Raw genomic sequence first — 27,055 nt, 5'->3', positions numbered from 1 at the left:
ATATTATTACTGAGGCCAATTTGAACTAATTTGGCAAGTCATATTTCATGAGACAATTTGCTGATCCTTCTCTTTGTAGATTTGGTGGAAAATTATTATGGAGATATTTCTTAAGATTTTTATTGTGGGAAATACATGGAAAATTATTTTAAGAAGGAAATTTAGGCTCATTTTAGACTGGCAGACAGGGAGGCAGAAACTTACTTTAAATCCATCCTTATTTACATGTATCCTAGGTCCACTGTTTAAAATAAGAATCTTGTAAAACTAGCTTATAAAAATGTGAAGAGTTAATATTTATAAAACCTTTGAGTTCCTATTAGTTGTGTTGTATAAATGCATTTCTTATTTAAAATTTGCATGTTTAAAGTATATATTATCCAGTGCACTGGATACAAAAGGGAATGATGCATTTATCTTTTTTCTATCATAAACAATATTGATAAGTGCTGGATGGATGAGTCATTATCTTTCATATTTTAGGAAGCAGAAAATTATTGGTATGTGATGAATATGATGCAATAGGATGCCTTAGCTATTTTGGTTGTTTGTTTCCCATCTGACATAAAAACACGTGTGAGATGGTTTGCTTGCTTACTTTCTTCTCTCTGTTCCTCCGCTCCCCTCTCCCCAGTAGATGATATTGTATGTCCTAATTTTATGTGGCAGCATGGTTTTAAGGGACTTCTTAAAAACAAAAACAAAAACGTGCAGTTGATCCAACTACTAATTACCCTTATGATTTGGCCATTAGGTTGGGCTGATTCTGTTTTGATTTGGTTTTCAGTCCTAAGTGTGTAACTTTTTATTAATATATATATGCAGAATTGGAAAGAGACTGTATTTTTTAAATGTTAAAAAAAAACATTTTAGTTGAGCACTTACTGTGCCAGGCCATTTATTAAAGTTCCATCCCGATTGAGCTTATTGTCAGGTTGGAGATAAAGCGCATTCAACATACCATCTTTCCAAGATGTGGGAAGAATAAGATATTCTTATCAATGAAGCACAAGAACCTGTGGAATCAGAAAGGGCTTTCCAGAGAAAGTGATCCTGGTGGAAGAACTGGCTATCCAGAGGGGAGGATGCAATGCCATTCAGGGGGAAGAGTAAGAACAGAGTCCTAGAGCAAGAGACCCTGGTCCAAGGATGAAAGCCATGTAATGTTTTAAAATCTGATGTCATTTCTATAATTCCTTTGTATAATGTTCATCAAGCTTTTTTTTTTCTACACATACTTATTGAGCACCTTTTATGTATTCAGTGGGGGGATCTGGCAATGAACAAAATGACTTGTTTTGTTCACTCAAGGAGCTTACCATCTAATGGGGGTGCATGTAAATGAAAGGAAGGGATTATACCCTGCAATAATATGTCATGATATTTCAGGATTTGACAAAACAGACTCAGTTCTGTAGAGAAAAATGCTATCTGAAATTTAAATTAAAGCCAAGCATCAACTATGCTTTGGTAGCAATGTTATACCAGAAGGACTACAGAAGAAATGGGTGAGAGCATTTGCCCAGCCAGGACAGCCTCTTTACAGTGTAGTCATTGTTCGAAAAGAGACAATATGTGGGAAAGGAAGGTGGCAGAAGCCATGAGACGGGGTCTGATTTAGCATTCTGAGTACCAAGACTCCTGTCCTGAGAGTTGTCTACCTTTATTGTTTATAAAATTCAAGATTAGAATTATACTAGACTAGAATTAACTTCCATGCTAGTTGCTTGAAATCAATCCATTATTCTGTTTGATATTCTGTGAGATTTTTTTCCCCCCTGACTTTGATGGTTGGTTTCGAAATCCATTAAGTGGATCTCAATCAGGTTTGTTTGTTTGTTTTTGTTTTAATGAAATAAAGTAGAAGAGAAAATAGCACAAAGAAAGGAAATAAATTGCTTTATGAAATGTACGTGTGTGTGTGTGTGTGTGTGTGTGTGTGTGTGTGTCTGTGTGTCTGTGTGTCTGTAGTTGGTTGCTATATAAACTGTTTTTCTTGCATTAGATAAACTGGATCAAACTTAAATGACTGTAAGTAAACATTTGCCCTGCAAAGTTATACCTTTTGTTTATGAAGGATTGTCTTATAGATGACTCCATAGTCAGTGTGCTGGACTGGGATGCTGCAAGTCTGGACCCTGGTGCTAGTTCTGCACCCAAAGAGGCATATGCTTTGGATAAGTTATAGGCTTTCTGTGAACCTTAGTGTTTTCCATCTAAAAAGAGAGTTGGGGCTGAGCATGGTGGCTTATGTCTGTAATCACAGCACTTTGGGAGGCTAAGGCAGATGGGTTGCTTCAGCCCGGGTGTTTGAGACCAGCCTGGGCAACATGGTGAAACTCCCATCTCTACAAAAAATACAAAAATTAGCCAAGTGTGGTGGCACACGCCTGTAGTTCCAGCTGCTAGCAAAGCTGAGGTGGGAGTATCACTTGAGCCTGGGAGGTTGAGGCTGCAGTGAGCTGTGAGCGTCCCACACCACTCTAGCTTGGGCGACAGAGCAAGACCTTGTCTCAAAATAATAAATAAAGAGTTGGCCTAGGTGGACTTGGTACTCTTTCAGAAGCAGTTGGCTATAAAAAATCAGTTGTCTTAAAGTTGATTGGACATTTTCACAGTTCTCTGTTACTAACTCAGAGAAGTGTTTCTAGGAGGTTAAAAAAAAACTTGAAACAAAAAATATATATAGCCTACTATCACATGATTCTGGTTCCTGACGGATGCTTTTCTCCCAACCTCCATCCAAAAGTATATGGTCCACTGCAGGCAAACAGATCTTCTGAATGAAATAAGGGGCATAAAAACACATGGGATGGTACCTGCATCATAGGGCCTTAAAAAAAAAATGTAGAGTTGAGAAAATGTTGCTCAAGATCTCAGCTCCTGCACTGGCCACCATCATATGGGCTACTTGTCACAAAAGCGAGGAAGTCATGAGAGGGAGGGAGGGACACCTCTAGAGCCTTTATTCATTTCCATTTATCGGATCTGCATATAAGTGCTCCCTTACTCCTTTGTGAGATGTCAAGGTGATAGAAGGCATCTTCCAGGTACCTTTTCACCACTGCATGCAGTAGGGAACATCAAATACCAGAGGGATTCTGCAGTCTCAACCCCTTTGGTGTAAAGACTACCTAAAAAGACAATCCAGCCATATAAAAAGTAACAGCCCATTTATCTCATTCATATGTTTAAGGTCAGTTTTCCTGTAGGAGATCTCTGAGACAGTAGCAATTAAACTGAGCTGTATGTAGCAACATAGTACATGCTACAAACTAAGTTAAAATTGTCAAAGAACTTTTCGTTTGTAGCAGTTTCTTAATGTTATGAGGCACAGAACTGTGTGGCCATCAGAAAGACAGAGCTGCTAACAACTCCATTTGGGGCATTGTTAGGCAGTTCTGTTGACACATGAATACATTTCATATGATTATCATAAAATTGTGGCCTGGAAATTGAGCAGCCATGGTGCTGCATTTTAGACTTCACATTTATAATAAGCTGTAATAAAGTAAACATTTTAAATGGATATAAGAATAGACATTACTTGCAATCACAAATGTATGTTCAATTGAAGTGCTTTTGAAGCTCAATTTAACAAAGCAAACAAATTTCCTGGCATTATTAACATAATTGTTCTCATTGTTGGGTTTTGATTTCTAAAAAAATATTTAAGCAAAAAAACAAGTTACTAAAAAACAAAATTCACAGAAGGAAATGTAACTAAGAATGAGTTACTTTGCCTTTATCATGTCGGATTAAAGTTAAAAAAAAAAAAAGTCTCAGATGTTCATTCTGTCACCCCCTCCCCACCGACTTGCTGAACTATTGCTTGGCCTGTTTAACTCAGAGCTGTTTAACTCAGAGCTCATATATCAGGATTAATTTAAGGTTAAATTCAGCTATTTGCTCTGCCATCAGTAAGCTTTGCAGTGGGCCTACTCAACATTTATCTACTAGTGAAACTCCAGGCTGTGTGATAGTTAAAACACGGAGCTTACAGAAGAGGACTAGAATATCCATTTTACACCAGAGTGGAGGAAGCATGACTATATGCAAATTTAGCACCAATTAGATGGTAGGATTTGAAGGACTGTGGTCCCTGGAATATTCCAAAAGCAAAAATGGAAATGATAGTGATAACATCTGAAGTGTGGTGGCAAGACAGTTAAAACAGTGCTAATTTGGAGCCTCTGGGCACAGAACAGTACCAGGAGGCGATCCACTGTGTCTTCTTTGGCAGCTGGCAGCTGGCAGACAAAGCAAATAATGAGTCTTTGGCTTGTTACTTTTCACCATTCCATAGTTTTCTCCAATTTTGAATAAACCCCCAAAACAAACATCCTTCCTGCATTGTCGTTTTACTGTAGCAGACCCTCATATAGCAAGTGTGCTACTGGCCCAACAGTCTACCACAGTGGAAACCACAGGAACTCAGGGTTGCCGGTGTACTTGCTTAAAGGTTAGCGTAGGCACAGCATGGCATTGGTAGGGGGCGCATTCTTCAAAGACTCACATGGTGATTTCTTATAGTCAGGGAGTTGAGCTGACTTAATCAAGATTAGAAGGAGGCATGCTAGTGTGAGAATATCCTGTAAAATACTCACCACTTGAAAGCATTCCTGGCAAGCATATCATTTACCTGATATATAATTTCATTAAGCACCAAGATTGTGCTGGTTACTTTCTAGAGAAAAGATGAAAAGCTACCTACCTTAATTATCCTCAGACTTAATTTCATATACCCAGAAAACAACTTTCCAGAAAATAGTGGTAACCACAGCTACCTAATTTAGAATAGATCCTCTGAAAACTTGCTAAGAGCAGTTGAGTGGTGAACGTCCAAAAATGTACAACTTTTTTCTTTGCCTGCGTAATTTTGTTTTTTTTCTTTATTCCCACTAGAACACATTCTCCTTACCCTCACTGGAACAACTGTAGAACAGAAACCTAAGGAAATATAGGAAGTGGGGAAGGAGGGAACAAAATGAGAAATTTAATGTGATTCCAAATGTAATCTTTAAGAACGTGAATTGTGAAAATTCTGATCTCCCAAAGATCAGGCAATCAGATACTTCTAAATGTAGAAATCTTTAGATAATAGCACGTATTTTACCTGCAGGCTGAATTTTATGTTTGCATCTTTTTTCCCCCTGCATCTTTGAAAGTGAAAGCCGGTAAACCAGTTGCCAGAACGGAAAAGACTGTTTTAATCACTGGAGCCTGCTAAAAATGTAAATAATGCTGATAAATCAGTAAAATTTTTGTATATTACTCAACCGAATTGCACTTAATCCCCATTTCACAGACCCAGTTTAGGACACTTAGAACTTTCTTCGTCTTCTTGTCCACACCTTTTCCCTACCCACTTTTGAGATTTCTCCTACTTTGTTTGTCCTATCTTCTTTCCAGACCCCTTTTCTCCAAACTAGTATTGACCAACACATGGCACTTGAGGCTCATGGTTTTGGGATTTTTTTTCTTCACATGCAGCCTATGTTTCTTATTTCTATTCTAGAAGATTATATTACATTAAACTCAGCATGACCTATGAGAGTTCACATGTCTCTCCTTTAGTTTATGGTGACTGCAAAGGATGCTCCATTAGCTGAACTCCCTTAGCTCTTTAACTGTTAGTCATTTCTTGATTTGGAGTAAACAATAATAAAATTTTCCTTTTCCTCTAGTGTGTTGAATTTCCCAGTTAGTACCAAGAGGTAGTGCGATGTAGAGCTCTAGATCCAAATGCTGTCTTGAAGAAACTATTTAAATATTCTCATTCTTAATTTCCTCATTATTATAAAAAGGATAACAGTGTATGTAAAGTGCTCAGCTACATCACAGGTAGTTAATAAATGTTAGTCTCTCCCCTTCCTTTCCCTATGAAGGAAAAAATCTTAGTCAATAATTTAAAAAGTAAATATCTATGATGAATATAAATATATTGGCTATAAACCTTAAATTAATTTTGAGTACAAGTTACCAAAGTAATGAATTTGCTATTTCCTCTGGTTTTATAACACCCCAATATGTGAATGTTCACACATACACACCAATTAATACAGATAATTGGGGAGGGCACTTTAGTACTTGAATATTTCAGAATAAAAGGGTTTTATTTGATGATTTTAAAGTTTCCTGCTTGGAGTTTCAGCTCTAAAATGTTTATCAGAGAGAAGTTATTGTGGTGTTTTTGGGTTTTAGGGGAGAAGATATTTAGGGAATGTGATACTTGATGCAGATAATTTATTGTAATCATTTTCAGATTTTCAACATTTTCTGAGTGGCTTTTTAAATAGCCGCTATACCTGGAGCTGATGAGGAAAATTTAAATAAATCCATCATGAATGTTTTTCAAGGAGTGCATAGAGACACAAAATGAAACTCTAGGGCTCTGAGCAATGTGATTATCACTCTGTACTTACGTAATGCCTTTGTCAATAACTTCAAGATTTCTTTCTCAAAGTAGAAGAAATATAGTTGTTGAGAAAGCATATATAAAATTGCAATGATCTATGCATGGCAAACAGTAAAATACCCAATTGGACATATCAAAGGCAGGTTATAGCTGCAAGTTACAGTTGGTCAGAAGGTCTCAGTGAGACTTTGCATTGACTTGAGGTACAGACTTGTAAGAAAGGAATCCTAGAAGTTTGTTTGCTCAGGTGAGTCCAGATCACCACGAGAACATTTTTTGCTAAACTAAAGAGTTCTGTGTTTTTAGTCTAATGGTTCAAGGCTGTGTGAGTCTGTGGTCTTCGGTGCCTGTAAGTGCCACTAAGGCAAATTGAGTGATTTTAAAGGAGAAAGAGTTTAGAAGATTAAAAGGAGAAAACCTCAACATTATTGTTGGTGTTCTAAGTGACAGGCTGAATAAGAAGGGAATCTTTATTTATTTTTTCAGCATTTTGGTTTACTCCCACATAACCACATTAGATCTATCCAGAGGACAGTTCTCTTGAGGTCTCTCTGTCCTGTAAGAAAGGCAGAGGTGAATAGTTGAGTTTAAAATGGGTGAGAAAGGAGATAGTTATATGTAACCAGCACACATTTCTAAAAGAATGATAAAAAAAGAGAACACTATTGGATCCAAATTGTTAGCATGTCCTTGAAAGTAAATGTAAGGACTCCTTGAAGTAATCTGAACTATACATTGACATCTTAATGAATTGCCTAGTTCAAATATTATTAGGTCTAATACATTGTGAACTTTGTTAAACATGGATATTTAATAATCATTAAAATAAACTTAGTTATTTGTTACTGCCAGAAGTAGGTAGACCATTTATTAAATTCAATGTGAAAAATATACTTTATGAAATATTTGCATTAGTTGTGTAACAGACATCTTAAAAAATGGGCAACATCAAATAAGCCAGTCATTGTATGTATAACTATAAAGAAAAAAGTGTTAGACATGCATATTGCATTTTTTAGCCTCCTCCTCATGTTAATGGTGGATGTTAAAGCTTTCCTTGGTTGTATATCGATTTTATTATCCCAAGCATGTATTGAATCCATGATCTGCTTATAATTCTCATCATGCTTGGTATTAGTACTAAACAGAGAACCAATATATTATGCCGTAGAGTTTGGCACTCTGTTTAGTAAGTCATTACCACTACCTCACCTTACCTGGCAGAGCTGCTTGTTTTGTCCATGTGACTTCTTATTTTTGCTAGTTATGCCTATAGAAAGGTCATTCAACCCAATAATGGCTTCTCATTTAGTCTAGAAATCAGACAAAAGCTTTGCAGCTGTGAAATGCAGCCCATTTAAAAATTAACCTATTGTAAATTCTTAATGATTGAGAAATTCTGCAATTTGCTGTGATTTGTGGTTTGTGCTGCAATTAGAATAGCAAACAGCAGAGATGATGCAGTCAGAATGACGTGCATTTGGGAAGTGAAGAGAAAGAAACTTTAGCAGATACTGTGCTGGGTTCAAGCCAATGTATTATGCCCTTCTGCCCTCATCAGTCATATATCACTTTGTCTCCCACCTTTAGACTCTTCCAAGTGAAATGTAATCCTTGGAAATAATTACATAAATTACTGTTTTAAATACTTAAATACTCAAGAGGTAAAATTGTCCATAAGTGTAGTCTACCTTTTCCTCCTTTAATATTTTCTCACCCTAGAGCCTAGATTCTTAGCGGAAAGAAGGACATAGATTTTTGATTCATGAAGACCTAGAATTCAAATTTTGTTAATAAAACAAATCAGCTCTGTATCCTCATGCAAATTACTTAAACTCTCTGGCTTCAGCTTCTACATCTGCGTATCTCACTGGACTCTTGTACAGATTAAATTAGATACTGTTTTACTTAGTAGGGATACAATATGCTTCTTCACCATTTACTGTCTATTAACCCCTGATCAAATTATATAACTCCTCTATGCCTCTGTTTCCCTCTGTGAAATGGGGATATTAATACCTACTTCATAGGGTTGTTGTGAGCATTAAATAAATAATGCAGAACCCTTAGAACAGTACTCTACATCTAGTTAGTATTCCATAATTATTAACCAGTGGATTGACAAATCAATAATCAACAAATAACTTACAATGATAGATAATGTAAATGAAACATGTAGGGTACACTAAGACAATTTATTAGAGCTAGAAAAATAAGCAGGGCTATGTCATTTAGTGCTTTGTAATGGGAAGCCACTGACAAGGATGACGTGATTGAAATTACTTTTTTTTTAACTGACCTGTTTCTTGTTTTTTTTGTATTATTTTTGTTTTTATTCACCTTCTACATACAGTAATTCACTCCTTTTGGTGTTTGAGCTTAGACAAGTGCATATAGGCATAGAGCCACTACTAGAATCAAGACAAAATAGTTCCATCACCAGCCCCCACCACCGCCATTAAAAAAGAGCCCCACATGACAACCCCTTTGTAATAAATTGCTTTCCCCACTCCTAAATCTTAGTCTGCTTTCTGTTGATATAGTTTTGCGTTTTCCAGTATGTCATGTAAATGGAATCACATACTCTATAGCTTTTAAAGTCAAGCTTCTTCAGTTCAGCTCAAAGCATTTGGAATTCAACCATATTGTTGTATTTATCAATAGTTTACTAATAGTTCTTATTCCTGAGTAGTATTTCATTTTATGGCTATACTGCAATGTGTTTATTCACCATTTGAAGGGCATTTAAGTTATTCCCAGTTTTGGATGGTCACAAATAAATATACTGTAAACATTTTTATTCAAGTTTCTGTGTGAACAAATGTTTTCATTTATCTTGGGTAAAATATCTAGGAGTAAAATTGCCGGCTCTTATGGTAAATGTATGTTTGACTTTATAAAGAAACTGCCAAACTGTTTTCCAACATGGTTATACAATTTTACATTTCCACTAGCAATATATGAGAGTTCAGTTGCCTTGCATTGTTGTCAACACTTTGATATTGTCAATATATTTTATTTTAGACATTCTAATAGGTATATATAGTATCTCAGTGTGATTTTAATTTGCATTTTCCTAATGACTAAAATGATTTTGAACATACAGTATTTTTATTTGCTTATTTGTCATCTATATAGCTTCTTTGGTAAAGTGTCTGTTCAAATCTTTTGCCCATTTTTTAAATTTAGTTGTTTGTTTCTTACTGAGTTTTAAGATTTTTTTCATGTGTTCTGGTACAAATTCTCTGTCAGATATGTGATTTGCAAATATTTTATTATAATCTATGCTTTGTCTTTTCATTCTCTTAACAATATATTTAGAGAGCATAAGTTTTAAATTTTGATGCAGTTTATCAGTTTTTTATTTTATGAATCATGTTTTTGGTGTCATTTCTAAGAAATTTTGCCTAACCCTAGGTCACAAAGATTTTCTTTTATGTTTTCTTTTAGAAGTTTTATAATTTTCAGTTCTATATTTATTTAGGTGTACTTTACACTTTGATTTTTGTGTAATGTGAATGATGTAGATTGAGATGCGTATTTTATGTATGAATATCCAATTTTTCCAGTACCATTTATTGAAAAGACTATCATTTCTTCATTGCATTGCCTTTGTGCCTTGGTCAAATATCAATTGACCTTATATTTGTGGATTTATTTGTGAGCTCTCTATTCTGTTTCACTGATCCATGTGTCTCTCTGCTTACCAATAATACCACACTGTCTTGATAACTATAGCTTTATACTAAGTTTTGAGATCAGTTAGTATCACTTCTTCAAATTTGTTCTTTTTCAAAATTGTTCTAGTTTCTTTGGCTTTCCACATAAATCAGGTTGTTGATATCCATTAAAAAATCCTTTGGGGATTTTGCTTGTGATTATGTTAAATCTATAGATCACTTTGGGAAGAATTGACATCTTTACAATATTGAATCTTTCAATCCATGAACATGGTGTATATCTCTTTTTATTTAGGTTCTCCTTGATTTCTTTCTTTCATCAGTATTTTGTAGTTGTCAACATGCAGATCCTGCACAGATTATTTTTAGATTTATACCTATTTCATGTTTTTTAGTTGTGTTACTATAAATTATACTTTAAAATTTTAAATTTCCAACTGTTCATTGTTGGTATATAGAAATTCAATTGGTTTTAGTATTCTTATAGTCTGCATCCGTTTATGTATGTATTTAACATCTTTGGATTCTGCAGCCTTGTTAAACTTATTGGTTCTAGGAGCCTCTTTGTATATCCTTCTATGTAAGTAATCATGTTGTCTGTGAATAAAGACAGTCCTATTTCTTCCTTTTCAACCGGTAGGTCTTTTATTTGTTTTTCTTTTAAGCAAGAGAATGACTTGATTGGATTAACATTTTTCAAAAGTAATTGTGGCTTCAGTATAAGGAATTTATGGGATGGAAAAATACAAAAGAGACCAGTTTGGAAGCTGTCACAAGAATCTGAGACACTGTGATAGGTTGGACTATGATGATGACAGTAAGAGAAGAAACACATATACTAAGATTATATTTTGGTTGTAGAATTAATAGGCCTGAGTAATGGATTGAATATTAGGGGAAAGAAGAGGAAGGGATCAGGAGGACACCAAGATCTCTGTCACAAGGAATTGGGTGGATGGAGTTGCCATTTACTGCATTGGAGAAGACAAGAGAAGAAACAGATTTGGAAGCAGGTGAAAAGTTGAGTTTTGAAAAAACATATATTTACCGATATAGTTAATTATAGGATATAAGAAGAAGAGCTTGGAAATGAGTTAGATCTATGTGGGACCCCATTCAAAGGCTTGTAGAGACATTATTTCCATTGCATTGCCTTTGTAGCTTCAGCATCCAAGATCATAAGATCTTTTTTACCTCAGGCCTTTGGACACGTTGTTAATCACTGTCTTAAGTGTGTGTGTCTCCCCTCCCCTTGGCACTCCCACTTGCTTTTGCTTCCTTTCTACTGCCTTCCCTCCCTCCTTTCTTTCCTTCTTTAGGCTGGGGTCTTATCATCCTATGGGTCTTAGCTTAAATATCATCTCCTTAGAACCCACCTAAAGCCAGATATTTTTCTCTCTGCATTAGTCTCTGTTACACAATATTTTCTCCATAGGCATTATCATTTTGTAAACATTTTGTAGTTGTTTTCTTGTTTGTTGTCTGCCTTTCACACTAGACTACATTCCAAAGATCAGAGACTGTGTCTACCTTGTTTACCATTATGTCACCAGTCCACAACACCTTACCGGGCACATGGTTGATCAGTATTTGTCAGGTGGGAGGAATGATGGTTCTAGAGCTCAGGAACTGTGGCAAGAAAGAACATTTGGGAGTTATTCACATGTAGATGGTATTTAAAACTATGGAGGTAAATAAGATTGCTAGAGAAAGAAAAGAATCCAGTACCAGCCCCTAGGGACTTGTCAACTTTAAAAGAGAAGTAGTTAGCAAAGAAGCCTGAGAAGGAGTAGCAAAGGATAGAGGAGGAAAACCAGATTTTGTTTCCTGGAAGCCTAGAAAAGAGAAATGTTTTTAAAGAGGCAGAATTTAAATGTGTAAGACAATGCTAAGGGGTCAAATAAGATGAGTCCATTTGATTTAGCAACAGAGGTCATTGACAAACCCAGCCAGAGTTTTGCTAGAGTGGAAAAAGTAGAAGCCACATGAGAGTAGATGAAAGAATGATAGTCATCATAGTAAATACAAACTAGATGGATATTTGACTGTAAATTTTGTGTATGAGTATCCACAAAATATTTGCCATCCATCAAAACTATCTTTTGGGTTAGCTCTGTATATCAGCTAACACTCATTTGCCTATATAGGTGTTTAATACTTGAGTATATTTTATAAACTTGGTGTTTAACTGAAACATTTGCTTTCATTTTGATTTGTCAAAAGACAAAATTACAACAAATTTAAAGATCTTAATTGTCTTTAATTTGCAATTCTAGAATCGGGCAACACTGTATTCCATAAAATAGAATAAGTGTTCTGAGGAGCTGAGCAAGGGAGGTTAGTTTTATATACAGAAAAAGGCTGAAGAAAGCAGAAACAAATGACAAAAAGTAGATTGGTCATTTAAAGTTACTGTCCTTGTGAGATGGGAACAGGGAAACACAACAACAGAAAAATAACTGGTTAACATCAGGTTATTTCAGGTTACTTTTTCTGGGATAAGGATTAAAGCAGAGGGAACTTTATTATCATGCCAACTGAAACTGGCCTGTTTCAGAATTTTGGCTATTATCTCCCTCTGATTTCTCAGGTCAGGTAACAACTAAGTTTCAGTTTGGTGCTGTGGGGCTTCAGTATAAGTGACTCCATTTTGGTTTTTAATCTGGTCTGTTGGGGCTTAGTGTAGGAGCTTAGTCCAAACTAATGGCCTCGCATACTTTTTATTTAACAGATTGTGGTGCTGGAATAGATGCCACCTTAGACACCGAGAAACAAGAATAGATGCCATCTTAGTCACTCAGAAATAGAGTACAAATGCATGATATTCATTCTTGTGTCAAAGGGAGGATATTTAAGTCTTAAAACCTTTTATTTTGTTTTTGGGGAGGTGGGGAAGGAGTAAGAAGGAGAAAGGGAGGCAGAGAAAAGCTTAGAGATAATACTAGCCTCCTTTACTTAACCAGCTATCAACAGTACAAGCTGGTTGATAAGCTGAGGCACATGATTCTGGAATTTAAGGAAATGTCTTTCCTGAGGATCTCCTCTACTCTAAACTGGTACAACCAATGAAGAGCACATATTTTATTGATCTAGATCAGAGTTAATGAAATTAACTTCATAGAAATTCTGTTTTGTACCATGATCTGGTTTCTGCATCTCCAGCAAAGTTCTTCATACTCTGGTTGATTTCCACTAAGTGCTAGACATAAATCTGTGTGTAGGTTTTAGAGATAGGATCAGAAAGGATGAATGAAAAGGACTTAGGCCAGAGGCTAGCAAATGTGCTTGGTTCATGTTGCCTCATACACAGCACCTCCAAGCCAAAAGAAATACCTAACAATTCCATTTATTAAGCAGATAGATCCAAATAACTAAGTGTTTATGTCCAAACAACTTAGCATGTGTTAAAGAGCATACAACTTCTCAAACCTTGGAATCAGATTGGACACCACAACTACATGTCCTGTTACACCTTGATTTTTTTGCACAATATGTGGTTTTAATCAAAATAACTGCCCCAGACCCAGCTTTACAAAGACATAATGTCGTCTAAAGGAATTCTGTATTAAAACTGTGAACTCGCTTCAACTAGTAATTTTTATGGTGTCCAACTCCTGTCACTGTCTTTCCCTAAAAATGTAAAATATTCCACAATGCTCTTGTGAATTTGCTGTAGCTCTCTGGGGTGCCTCATTGCAGTTTGCAAGCTGTGGACTCAGAGCATTATTCCAAGACTTTTTGTTTTCCATTTAAATATTTATTTCTTACGTTTTGTACCTCTACATTAAAAACCAACCTGATGTTTATCATCATTGGTGAAACGTAGTTTATTTTAGGATTTTTTGTTTCAAAAAAAGTATGATAGTTAAACATGCATATGTTGAAAGTTTGGAAAATACAGCAAAACATGGAGAAGAAAATAAAAGTCACTTCTAATTCCACCATCCACCAATAACCACTACTAACATGTTTTTGTTTATATCTGTCCAGTTATTTTCTATGAAATAATAGCTATGACTAACTCTGATTTTATTGGATGGTAGAAATATGTAGTTTAGTGTGAATTTCATACCCTTTAGTTGTGACTTGTCTATAATAACTTGGGATAAGTAAATAAGGTAGAGTTATAGCTGCTTCTTTCCTAAGTAACTGCTTTCATTAGTTGCGTATCTGACTGAAGGGCATGAAGACACCACCATTCATGAAGGAGAAACTTCCTGTTGCTGGGTTTCTAACCTAGCAAATGCAAGATGTGCCATTTACACAGTGGTTCCTCATTATAGAGGCACAAACACCAATAGATTTCAGCAGAGGAACGTTTTTTGAAGTACTAGTCTAACGTGTTTTAAAAAGGTAACGTGACACGTATTTTACTTCTTTTAGTAGGCGGACACACTTTCTTAAAGTAATAATACGTCATGGCCCTGCTATAAGGTAGTAGTTCTAGAAGACTGTTTATCTAATAATTCAGACTAAAGCTATTTATATTGCTGTGACACCACGTGGAAAACTTTTATAATTCCATCTTATTTCTGATGTATATGTTTTATTTTCTCTGCCTTCATAAGAACTAAAAACCAAAGTTATTTACGTGAAAACAAGATTTTTGTTTGAGTTCATTTACTTGAGATATGTTTAAAAAATCCACCTTCTGTCACACTATAGAAGTAGATTTTGAATTATCAAAAGGTAGAATTATAACTTCAGAAAAGAAAAAAATGGTCAATTTAGTTTAACTCTATGTACAAAAATTTATTTATAGTCTCATATATTCATTCCACACCCCCGTTCTTCTTTCCTTCTTTCTCCCTCTGTCCTTCTTCTTAATAATAATTTTTAATTCTGACCAAAATAAGTTGTGGCAGTACTTTCTTAGCATAACCTGGACTGTTGAAGAGTAATTCTGTTCTTTAAAAAAATCCCCAATGGGCTGGGTGCAGTGGCTCACCCATGTAATCCCAGCACTTTGGGAGGCCAAGGCCAGAGGATTGCTTAAGCCCAGGAGTTTGAGACCATCCTGAACAACATGGGGATACCCCATCTCTACAAAAAAAATTGCAATATTAGCCAGGTGTGGTAGTGCACAACTGTGGTCTCAACTGCTTGGGAGGCTGAGGCGGGAGGATGACTTGAGCCAAGGAAGTTGAGGCTGCAGTGAGCTGTGACCGCACCACTGCACTCCAACCTGGGTGACAGACTGAGACTTTGTCTCAGAAAAAAAAAAAGAAAAATCTGTGGTAGGGAGCCCCATGGAGAAAAGGTGGAAGCAAGATAAAAAGACATGGAAGCCAACCTGAGAGTTTTCAGTGGCCAAAACTAGAACAATTTGAGCAATGAAATAAGTGACGAGTATTTTATTATAAACCAAATAATAAAATAAATATCCATGAGTCCATACCAATACAGATAAGCAATTAAATGAATAAATAGGGGAGAAGGGACAAATCTTTCTTATGGAAGAACTCTAGATAATAGATGTAGAAGGAATGGAGGATACAGAAAAATCCCATTAGAACACCGCAGGAATAATTGCTCAGGCAAGAGTTACAGATGAATGCCAAAATTAATAAGTGAAACTTTTCTTTGAGCTGCTAATTTAAAATCTTGAGAAGTACTAGATCCGTTTTCATCTGATAGTTTCTTAACCCCAGATTATTTATAGATTCAAATAGTATAAAAGTGTGGTATGCAATCAGATGGATACAGGCAACAAATTTTTTTCAACATAAAATATATGGTGTGTTGCTCTGTTTTTTTCAGAAACAGTAAAACCTCATCAGTTCAATGTAATTTGGGGTACAGATGTGAAATCTTGTTTTATAAATATTTTATTCTTTTTACTTTCAAGGTCTCATTAACTCAAACTAGGATAACAGTTGATTAGAAGACCTGATGGGGTCCTGTTTTAGTAAATAATAATATGTAATTGGCTGAGGATGATTATTGTCATAGTAACAAATTAGATCTAAAATTAAACTCCTCTCCCTTATACCGGTCATTCTTTTGATCCGACCATTATTGGAAACTGTTTTTAGTTTGTATACATGTGGGAGATATTATTTTTATTAGTTAAATATATTTTACCACCTAACCAAATGAGTAACTTGTAGTGCATCTATCTTGGGACTATAACTGGTGTGATCAATGAAGAATGATGTATTGTTCTTAAATACGGAAATACGTTTAGGTTAGTAGTGGCAGGTACGTGCATTTTCTGGAAAGCTCTGTTTACCAGATTTTTAGTGGCCAAGGAGATACACAGATAGTTAATAGTACTGCTTAATTGTTACAGTCAGATTGAGTAACATAATTTATAGCAATTCTGAAACTGAGAACACAAGAATGATAAGCTATATGATAAAGACCACAGTTGCTAGTCAGCAAAAGTGCAGACTACACATTGTTGACTAGCAAGCCATTCTTGTAAAGTACATATGATAAAATTTTCTTGACAGCTGTTTTCAAAGTCAGCCTTCCTATGTCATCATGGTTCCTTTAGTAAATTTACTTCTAAGGTTTTTTTTTTTTAATTAAGCAGTGTTTCTTGCTGAAAGAAATCAAAGAAGATACAAATAAATAGAAAGACATTGGTGCTTGTGGATTGGAAGACTTAATATTGTTAAAACATCTATACTACTAAAATGCATTCCACCCCTATCAAAATCCCAATAGTATTTTTTGCAGAAATTAAAAAACTATCTTAAAATTCATACAGAATCTCAATAGACCCCAAAAGGCCAAAACAATCTTGAGAAAGAACAAAGTTGGAGGCCTCACACTTCCTGATTTCAAAACATACTTCAAAGCATCTAATTTAGATGGCATACTTAATTACTGGCATAAAGATAGAGATACAAATCAATGGAGCAGAATAGAGAGCCCAGAAATAAATCATTGCATATATGGCCAAATGATTTGCCACAAGGGCGCCAATACTACACAATGGGAAGGGACAATCAATATCTTCAACTAACAGTGTTGGGAAAGCAATATCCACATGCAAAAGAATGAAGTTGAACCCCTACCTTACACCATATACAAAAATTAACACAAAAATAAAGACCAAAACATAAGACCTTAAACTATTAAACTTGTAAAAGATAACATAGGAGAAATCTTTTTTTTGGAGATGGAGTCTCCCTCTCTTGCCCAGGCTGGAGTGCAGTGGCACGATCTCAGCTCACTGCAAGCTCCGCCTCCCAGGTTCATGCCATTATCCTGCCTCAGCCTCCCGAGTAGCTGGGACTGCAGGCACCTGCCACCACGCCCGGCTAATCTTTTTGTATTTTTAGTAGAGACAGGGTTTCACTGTGTTAGCCAGGATGGTCTCGATCTGACCTCATGATCTGCCCACCTCGGCCTCCCAAAGTGCTGGGATTACAGGCGTGAGCCACTGTGCCCGGCCAGGACAAATCTTTAGGACATTGGATTAGGCAATGATTTCTTGTGTGCAACACCAAAATCATAGGCAACAAAATAAAAAATAGACAAAGAGGACTACATCAAAGTTAAAAACTTATGTACATCAAAGGAATCAATCAGCAGTGTGAAAAGGCAGCCTACAGAATGGGAGAAAATAATTGCAAATTGTACATCTGATAAGAAGTTAATGTCCAGAATATATAAGGAACTCCTACATCTCAACAACAATAAACAACCCAATTAAAAAAATTGACAAAGTTTCTTGTATACTGAAGAAAGTATACTGAAGAAAGTATACAGCCAATAAGCACATGGAAAGATTCTCAGTCATTAGTGAAATGCAAATCAAGACCACAATGAGATAGCACCTGACACCATCAGGATGGCCACTATGAAAGAACAAAAAGTTTAAATTAGAGCACAGTAAACAATGGGCGTCAATTTTTTTTAAAAAAAAAAGGAACAAAAACTAACAGGTGTTAAGGATGTGACATTGGAACCCTTGCATACTGTTAGTGAGAATGTAAATTGATGCAGCCATTATGGAAAACAAAGGGGTCCTCAAAAGATTAAAAATAAAATTATGATCCAGTGATACTGCCTCTGGGTGTATAGCCAAAATAATTTAAAACCGGATCTCAAAGAGATATTTTCACACCCACGTTCTTTGCAACATTATCCAAAATAGCCAAGAGGTAGAAGCAGCCCACGTGTCCATTGACAGATGAATGGCTAAAGAAAATGTGGTGTATACATACAGTGGAATATTATTCTACCTTTAAAAAGAAAGAATTTCTGTCACATGCTACAACATGAATAAACCTCAAGGACATTATGCTAAGTGAAACAAGCCAATCACAAAAGGACAAATAGTGTGTGATTCTGTTAATACTCGTATGAAGTATCTAAAGTAGTCAAAATCATAGAAACAGAAAGTAGAAAGGCAGTTATCAAGGTCTGGGTAGAGGGGAAGGGGGGCAATTAGTGTTTAGGGAGTATAGCATTTCAGTGTTGCAAGATGGAAAAGTTCTAGACATACACTTAGCATTGCTGAACTGTACACTTAAAAATGGTTAAGATGGAAAATTCAATGTTTTTTTACCACAGATTTTAAAAAGCAATGTTTCATTGCCTAATTTTATATTTGGTTAACAATTTTACTGATTGTTCTATGTCCCAGGCACTTTCAATTATTATTCTTTCAGTGACCCAGTAAATTAGGAACTTGTTCCCCATTTTAGAAATTAGGAAATAGACACTGAAAGGTTTAGAAACTTATTTCTGTTAGACCTTACATGTGGTATAGCAAAACTGTGTTTACCTAACTGAATGAGTTGTCCAATACTTGCATATACACAGTGTTTCCAAAATAAAAGAATGGGTCCCTAGAAAGCAAGGCAAGAGAATTGAGACTAAAATAATGAATATTTGAGGATAAATTTGGCAAGTTTGCTACTTGGAATATCACTTTTTTGGGCATGTCTAGTTCCAAAACCACTGAGTGTATTGCACCTGTTGGATTTGTTGAAAATGCAGATGGTACAATCAAATGTAAAGGGAAAGGAATATAGTTTGAAAGTTTTTATGAAGACATGTGCTGCCTAATCTGCGAATTGAAAGCATCTTTTAAAAACTTACTTCTCGTCATATTCCTAGGTGGTAGTGAATATGTGGGTAGAAAAATGAGAATGTTTCAGATAATGCTAATGAAGTTAAATGATTGCAGTCTACCATATTGTGAGGAAAAGTTGTTAGCCATGAAAGATGAGGACAGAATTAAAATATTACCATGACTGGCATTTGATTTGAAAACTACAAAGATAAGCTTAGGTTCCTATTTATGAAAACCATTCTCACAGCCCAGTGAAATATCTTTTAAAAGGTTCGTAGTTACCATGGATACTTGTTAGCTTTGATAGAGTATCCATATTCAGTCATCTGAGGTGAAGAAGCCAAAAAACCCATCAACTAATGTCACAAATAGCTTCATCTGTAAATTTGTACTAGTTTGGGGATGGAAAGGCTAAGTTTCCTGAAGATTAGATTGTTGGTTAATTGTCACTGCTTGGAAAGCAAAATATTTAGGATGTACATTGCCTGAATTTGATCCTAGTATTCACTATTGATATGTAACTTTTTCATTTAACTAGTACACGGCATTTCTTAGATTTTAACATAGGAATTTAGATGGTTAGACCTTTCTGAAAGTTGATGAAACCTAGGCAGTATACTCAATTTCTGAAAGCCGTAGAGACACAGACAATATTGAAGGTATTGGTCCCCATGGTAACATATTTGCATTTGGCCCAGCATGGCTGGTTTCTGCCTAGCTTCTTTTAATTGCTATATATTGACAGCCATTTTCACAATTATTTATAAAATGTCGGATAAGTGAGCATGTGTACAAGGGAGTGCACACCATACCTTAAGCTTGATTAGATACTTCAGATGACAAAGAGCTCTCTGCATGAAGAGTTACTGAGGTATTTTTATCATTTCCTAATGTGCCTGTCACATAGTAGAAGCAAAAAGCCTTTCAAGTTATTTAAATATTTTCCTCAATTCTCTTTCAAAACAGGTGACAAAAGAGCTGAAACAGTATGACAACAAAATTATAGAATGCAAATTTGAGAACAACAGCTGGGTCTTCATGAGACAGAGAACAGACAAAAGTTTTCCTAATGCCTACAACACTGCCATGGGTGAGTATGACAACTTACCAGTGCTTATTATATTTAAAACAAAAATTAAGGTGTTAGACCCAAAGTGTGCTGCCTTTGTTGTTTTGCTTAATGGGGCATAGTCATTTGGACTTCATCCTTGTTTGATGGGAAAGATACGTCAAGTCTGTATTCTGTTTGGCTCCAGTTGGCTTGTAGGTTCTACTCTCTAAACTGGTGATCTTGTGCCCATGCACCCAAAAGAGAAGTTTAAAGGGCAGGATACTGGGCTGTATACAAGTTGAATTTATTGAACAACAACAACAACAGAAACCATGATAATTTCAGATCTATTCAAAACTATAAAAACCATTGTTTGCCAGATGGTAAAAGACAAAATTATCAGGGGAAAATGTAATTTCCAGCTCTTAAAATAGCTTTATAAACAATGGAGAACAAAGTAAACGAAAACCATTTAAAAAGACAAAATCTGCTATGCTATTCTTCAGAGTGTTCTTTGGGTACAATATGAATGCTTTGGGAATTCAGAATAGTAAGTTTCTTTCATGGGGAACAACACAAATTAATTGAAGTTTATAAGGTATACCACTACCAGTAGCAGTTGTTGTTCTGGATTGCATTTTTAGTGGAGTTGAAAAAAGGTAAAAACCAAGATAACAGGTTAATCAAACTTTACTTTTAGAATGTGCAGTTGATGAGGAGGATGATGATGATGATATGATAAGCTAATGAGAAAATATTGAAATTGCCAATTTCAGCTTTGCAGTTTAAAAGTTACTGTTGTACATTTAGGAGTTCTCATTGGAACTAGCATCCATGTTCAGACAAGATGAGTTAATTTCAAAAGTCAGGATGATTAAGCCAATGTCTTTTCTTCTAAGACCAAATAGGTAAATAAAATGAAAAGGACTGGCACTAAATTTTGATAAGAGAAGATAATATGGTCTGCTAGCTACAATGAAACCACCTATTCAACAGGAATGGTGGCTGGTGCCATGTTTTATGTTTCGTAGAGTAGACTTCTTTCTGAGAGAAAGATTGAAGGACTATAGTGCACGTTTTCTGTAGAAGTTTTAGTTGAATACAGACTATGGTGCAATGTGTTGTGTTAGATTAAAATCCCATAAAAACTGGTTTGGGAGGGATAGAAAACCGTGGGGAAGACATGCTTATAGCCCAAACATTTAAAGTTTTGGTTTAAAATTAATACTGCAGTAAAGAGTAGCCATTAGACAAGCACATATTTTGGGTGTAGGGTAGGGAGGAGATAGTTCAATGTGAAGCACATCACTCAAATGGGTAAAATGGAAAGTATTTAGTATATTGGGATGAAAACCTTTCTCATAAGCCTGTGGTGAGTCAGCTGCCTTAATTAACCCTCACATGAGACCTGTCTCCCTTTGTCCACAGCTGTGTGTAACAGCATCTCAAACCCTGTCACCAAGGAGATGCTGTTTGAGTTCATCGACAGATGTACTGCAGCTTCTCAAGGACAGAAGCGAAAACATCATCTGGACCCTGACACGGAGCTCATGCCACCACCACCTCCCAAAAGACCACGCCCTTTAACCTAAGACCTGCCTGTGACTTGAGGGTTAAGAAGAAAGAGGAATGAGGAAAAAACGCTGTTGCCCATTTTTGTAGCCAGAGAAATTGAAAAACGACTGTGGCTTGATGTTGATACACATTTGAATTTTTTTTAAAAAAAGAAAGTTATCGTAGCCAGCCTGTAAATACTTGATGCATTCGTTTCCTCAGTGCTGCAATACATCGTGGACTTAAACATCTTATTTATCTGATAAACTCAGCCTTACCTTGTGGAATCTGAAGATTGAAATATCCAAAGGTTTAAACAAGATGGAAATCAATGAAAAAGAGGCCTTGTTTATATATGGGTAGCTTCACATTTAATTTATAAAGTTAACAATCTGGAAACTGTGAGCCCATAAAACAGTATTTTTTAGAAGTTGTGTTACAACTGTAGCAAATTTTCCTTTTAAAAAATCCAGGCAATGGCATTAAACATTCTTGCTATCATTTACCATGGATTTCCTACATTTCTGAGATCCCTGTATTCAAAAACAAATGACAGGGTTGTTAAGTTGTACTATATTAAACAACTTGGTCTGGTTTATATCATTTTAACAAGTTTTTTGGAAATGTAAAAGAAAAAAGTAAAGCTCCATTTTTGTGAATTGCATTGTTTCTAAAGGAAGTATTTTGAGTATTTTCATCTGTTTGTATTGTTTCGACTATGATATCAGATATCCAGTGTGTCCATTCTGGCAGTGGTTTTGAGTTACTTCATGGAACTTGGACATACACCACCAGGTCCTTTATGTGTTGTTCTCCTGGGAGACTTCTTTTTTTAAATGCCAGGGCTACTTCTGCTTTACCTCAGTGGTATCAGCACATTGTAAATTACGTTAAAACACACAACTCACTGTGATCTATGGGAGTGATATCAAATACAAACGATGTTGTGTTCCTTCTCTCGAACAAAACAGCAAAGGGAATGCCAGCTAACTTCTTTGATTAGAAGGTAATGTCATGGAATAGAATGCTGTCACCAGAAAATGCTCTCCCACTGCTAGATAAATGCAGAGGCAAAGTGTAGACATCTGTAGGAACTAAATATCAAGGAAATCAAGACATTTATTTTCAAAGCGAGAATTCTATCTACATTCTATTCTGCGGATGTTATTTCTGTTATACATCTGAATTTTAAAATGTTTACTGATAGATAATGGATTTAAAGGGCGGCTAATTGATTGTCTGCCATTGTTGATAAACTGTTCTAATTGGTTTGTGAAAGAACTCTGAGAATTAGCTAAATGGAGGCTAGTGTATTTATTTTTAGAGGTACATGTTTTAAGTAAATGTATTTAAAACAAATTTTCATGGTCTGAATTGTATATGTAAATGCATATCTGTGTAAGTATATGCAAGTGTATATTCTTCTACTGATTCAGTCAGACACGAAATCCAACTGAATTACCCGGTAGACTGAATATCTGACGGGATTTCTATATGGACATAGCACAGATGAACCAAAAATGTATTTATATTCACCTGAGTTTTAATGTTTTTAAACAAAGTTTTCTCCTGCAGTGCTTTTCTATATGAAATAGTTGAGTCAAGCTTGGGCTTTTTTCTTCGTTGTTCCCAAGTCATGTAATGTATAGTGAATTTATCCAAAACGCCATTGTAACGTTTTTTACTAGAGTGTTTTTGCACATTTGGGCGCTAAAGGGATTAAAACAACTGATGCCACAATGACTATTGAAGGAGGGAAAATTCTCAAGGTTCCATAGTATCTTTTACAAAATGGATTAAAAAAAAAATGCCTATGCAACTTCAAATAGTCTGATGCCTGCTTCCCCAGGACGAGTGACTCTTCCACGGTGTGCTGCTTTCCCTCCGAGCCTGTGGAAAGGCAGAGCCCTTTTGCAGATACGAAAGCAAGCTTTTGCCAATGATCTTTAATGGAGTTAAAATGTTTATGGTAATTGTAACCTTTCAAATGAGTTACGTGAAAAGAGCATCTCACTTTTAATACACCCAGATATTTTCTTCAAGTCTTTGTGCATTTTAGCAGGACTTAATTTTCTTAATTTATTCTTTCCTTTCAATTATAGTGACATAGAGTAGTTGGCCTTATAAGTAGATCCCATTTAGCCCCTGAACATAATACCATCTGCAGTATTATAAAAGTCATTTAGAAGGTCAGGGGGATAATCTAGAGGCAGGATTTTGGACATTGTGAAGGAAATGTGCTCCTTCTCAGCTCACTTCAATAACTATTTTCTGAGACTGAAGTTTTTTAGACAAGAATAAGAAAACTTTGCTTTCTTCAGTTATCACATGTGAAAGCTTTTGCTTTTTGTTAGGAAAAGGTGTGGATGACTCTACTGCGTGGATGGTTACATTTGCTTTCCGTGAAATGCTCAGAAAATGTCAGGACATTCCTTTTCCAATTGTGTGTCAGTGCGTATTGTAATAAAACTACTGATTTAAATTAGCATAAGTGTATCTACTTTGTTTTACTGGTGATACTCTTGTGTCCCTTCTATTGCTGGCATCACATCCTACTGCTGTCAGCCACACCCAGTGTAATCCATCTGGCTTTGTAGAGATTAGCATAAAGACTTGGAAAGCCTCTATTTTTCTTTCTGAGAAACTGAGAAATTTGATTGACACAGGGGGGTGTAGTTTGAACCTTTTATTTTTGAAGTGGAGAGGAATGGGAGAAAGCACATCTTTATATGATGTTTATATTATTTCTCTTCATCTAATCTTAGCAGTCTACTGTATGAGTAGATATTCTGTTACATTATTTTTAATGCATTTAAATTTTTTAGAATACTCAGCAATAGCAATAAATATTCTGAAATGATGAAGTCGTGAACTACCAAATTTTTTTTTGCATTGCATTTTTATAGTATGGAATTTGCCATCTTTAAATGTTTAAATAATACCACCATTTTGAACTCTGCATATAGTTTTTCCTGGCCAAAAAAATAACCTTGGAAGCCAAGAAGCAAATACTCCCAAGTGGGAGGACACATGTGGTGGAGAAAACTCTGGACTAGACTCACACAAGTCCAGGCTCTGCCTCCTGTTGGCTCTGTTCTGTCTAGATCCTCCCACACACACACCCCCATCCACCCCTGCCATTTTGTTCCATCTATAAAGTGGCAAATCCCATCTGTCACACTGGGCTAGATTATTTAAAAGCCTTTCCAGGTCTAACCATGATTCCTGTGTTAAAGACAGTACTTTGAAAATCTCCCATATTCACCATAATAGCAGTATAACCATTATTGATTATTCACCAACTACCAAGACTGTCCTAAACATAACCACTCTATGCAGGCAGGTACTGTTACCAACCCCACTTTTAGATGAGGAACCTGAGACTAAGTTGTGAGCTGAGATCCAGACATAGGTCTTTTTACTCCAGCACCTACATTTTTGCACAGTCCTCTCCCAAAGGCTTAGTTACATACAGTCCCTTTGTGGAAGACTGATTTCATGCCAGGGGGTCCCAAACTAAGACATTTTTTGGGTGCTAACAGGGTAATAGGCTTTAAGCACTTCTCTCTAATAAAGAAGGTGAAGTTGGGAGCACAGAAGTAAATACACTTTAGGGCCTTATTTAACTATTTATTTAACAATACTTAAATGTGAGTGACTAAGCAGCCATGAAGGGGAAGTTTAATGTTCTCATTAAGATGCTAAATTCTAAAGAGGTAATTAGGAAGAAATAAGTGATTAAATTACACACTGGGCTAACATTTTCCTGATTGTCTCATAGTTAGCTGTCAACTCTGCTGCTTTGGCAGGTCATTGTCAGCCTTGGTTAATGCAGATGGGCCCCTTCCCTCACCTGACTGATGTCAGGTGACCACTCTGCAGTATCAGGAAGGTGGTAGTGGAGCAGACTCTGAGCAGGGGCCACCTGGTCTCCAGATTTCACATTTCCCAAAACCAGGGCATGGATCCGGGGTTGCCAAATATTTTGCCATGTCAGGGCATTAAAAAAACAAATTATCTTGCCATTATTTAGTAAAACTAAGGAACTCTTAACACACAAAAAGGAAGTAGGACATATTTTAGAAGACAGGCCTTTATATAGAAGAAATTTTGTTTTATGAAAGATTCACTCCATTGTCCTTTGCTTGTATATTGCCTCCCTAGCTGATGAAAACTTTTTCATGAACTGGTGTTGGGAATCACTGCAGAGGTGGAATTCAGTTGGGGCTTTAAGTGGGAAGGGGATGTGGAAAGTAGCAGCAGCACTTGGTTTCAAAACTAAAGATCTATTCACAATAGCAAAGACTTGGAACTAACCCAAATGTCCAACAATGATAGACTGGATTAAGAAAATGTGGCACATATACACCATGGAATACTATGCAGCCATAAAAAATGATGAGTTCATGTCCTTTGTAGGGACATGGATGAAAGTGGAAATCATCATTCTCAGTAAACTATCGCAAGAACAAAAAACCAAACACCGCATATTCTCACTCATAGGTGGGAATTGAACAATGAGATCACATGGACACAGGAAGGGGAATATCACACTCTGGGGACTGTGGTGGGGTGGGGGGAGGGGGGAGAGATAGCATTGGGAGATATACCTAATGCTAGATGACGAGTTAGTGGGTGCAGCGCACCAGCATGGCACATGTATACATATGTAACTAACCTGCACAATGTGCACATGTACCCTAAAACTTAAAGTATAATAGTAAATAATTAATTAAAAAAAAAAACTAAAGATCATTTGCATAACCAGAGCTGTCCGTAGTAAGTTATTTCATGGTGGTTGATTCCAGGGGTTGATTACATTCTGTCCTTGTGATATAAGGTGTACAGATGAAAAGTGCAGTTATCCGAATGCTTATACATACCCGAATAGAATGAAACCTTCACTTGCTTGAGGTGCAGAAATAAGCAAAGCAAAATACAACACTGAAAATCAGCATTTGGCTTTGACAACAAATCAGACCAACAAAGTCACCGGTTTCCAAAACTTCGAGCTTGCTGCACAGTCTATTTTTCCTTTAGTTCGCTGCCACCAGAGTGATCTTTCAAAACTCAAACCTGCTCCTGTCATCCCCCATGAAGAGCTCCCTGGCACATGACAGAAAAGGCCCTTTGTGACCTGGCCTCAGCCTGTCTGTCCAGGGTCATTCTGCCTTATGGGACAGAGGTGTGACTCCTTGTTTTTCTCAGAACTCCGTGCCCCCTAAGCCCAGGAATCTTTGCACAGGCTGCTGCTGCTGCTGCCCGAAACCCCGGCCTCCCCTCATCTCAGGATCAAGGAAACTTTTTCTCATAGACAG

General features: G+C 36.2%; 1 protein-coding gene across 5 annotated transcripts in view, besides 1 other annotated feature; it reads left to right on the top strand.

Annotated features, from left to right (window-relative positions):
* The window catches only part of RNGTT (RNA guanylyltransferase and 5'-phosphatase), a 353,722-nt gene extending 329,125 nt beyond the window's left edge, over positions 1-24,597 (top strand). For 3 of the 5 annotated variants that reach the window (NM_001286428.2, NM_001286426.2, NM_003800.5), the window contains 2 exons: positions 20,099-20,222; positions 21,612-24,597. In NM_001286428.2, the coding sequence (NP_001273357.1) occupies positions 20,099-20,222; positions 21,612-21,775 (288 nt within the window). In that variant the 3' untranslated portion in view covers positions 21,776-24,597. Of the gene's footprint in view, positions 1-934; positions 10,732-20,098; positions 20,223-21,611 lie in introns of those variants that run through there. The other 2 variants (XM_047419443.1, XM_047419442.1) reach the window with 2 other exon arrangements.
* Positions 4,430-4,519: a silencer, noted in NCBI's record as "silent region_17381". NCBI's record gives its function as "represses an Ori minimal core promoter by ATAC-STARR-seq in GM12878 lymphoblastoid cells {active_cell/tissue: GM12878}" and the evidence as "EXISTENCE:reporter gene assay evidence [ECO:0000049][PMID:35858748]".
* Positions 24,598-27,055: the final 2,458 nt, after the last annotated feature.

This window comes from Homo sapiens, chromosome 6 (assembly GCF_000001405.40).
Source record: "Homo sapiens chromosome 6, GRCh38.p14 Primary Assembly".
Taxonomy (NCBI): Eukaryota; Metazoa; Chordata; class Mammalia; order Primates; family Hominidae; genus Homo; species Homo sapiens.
This window is presented reverse-complemented; position numbering and strand designations above follow the sequence as displayed.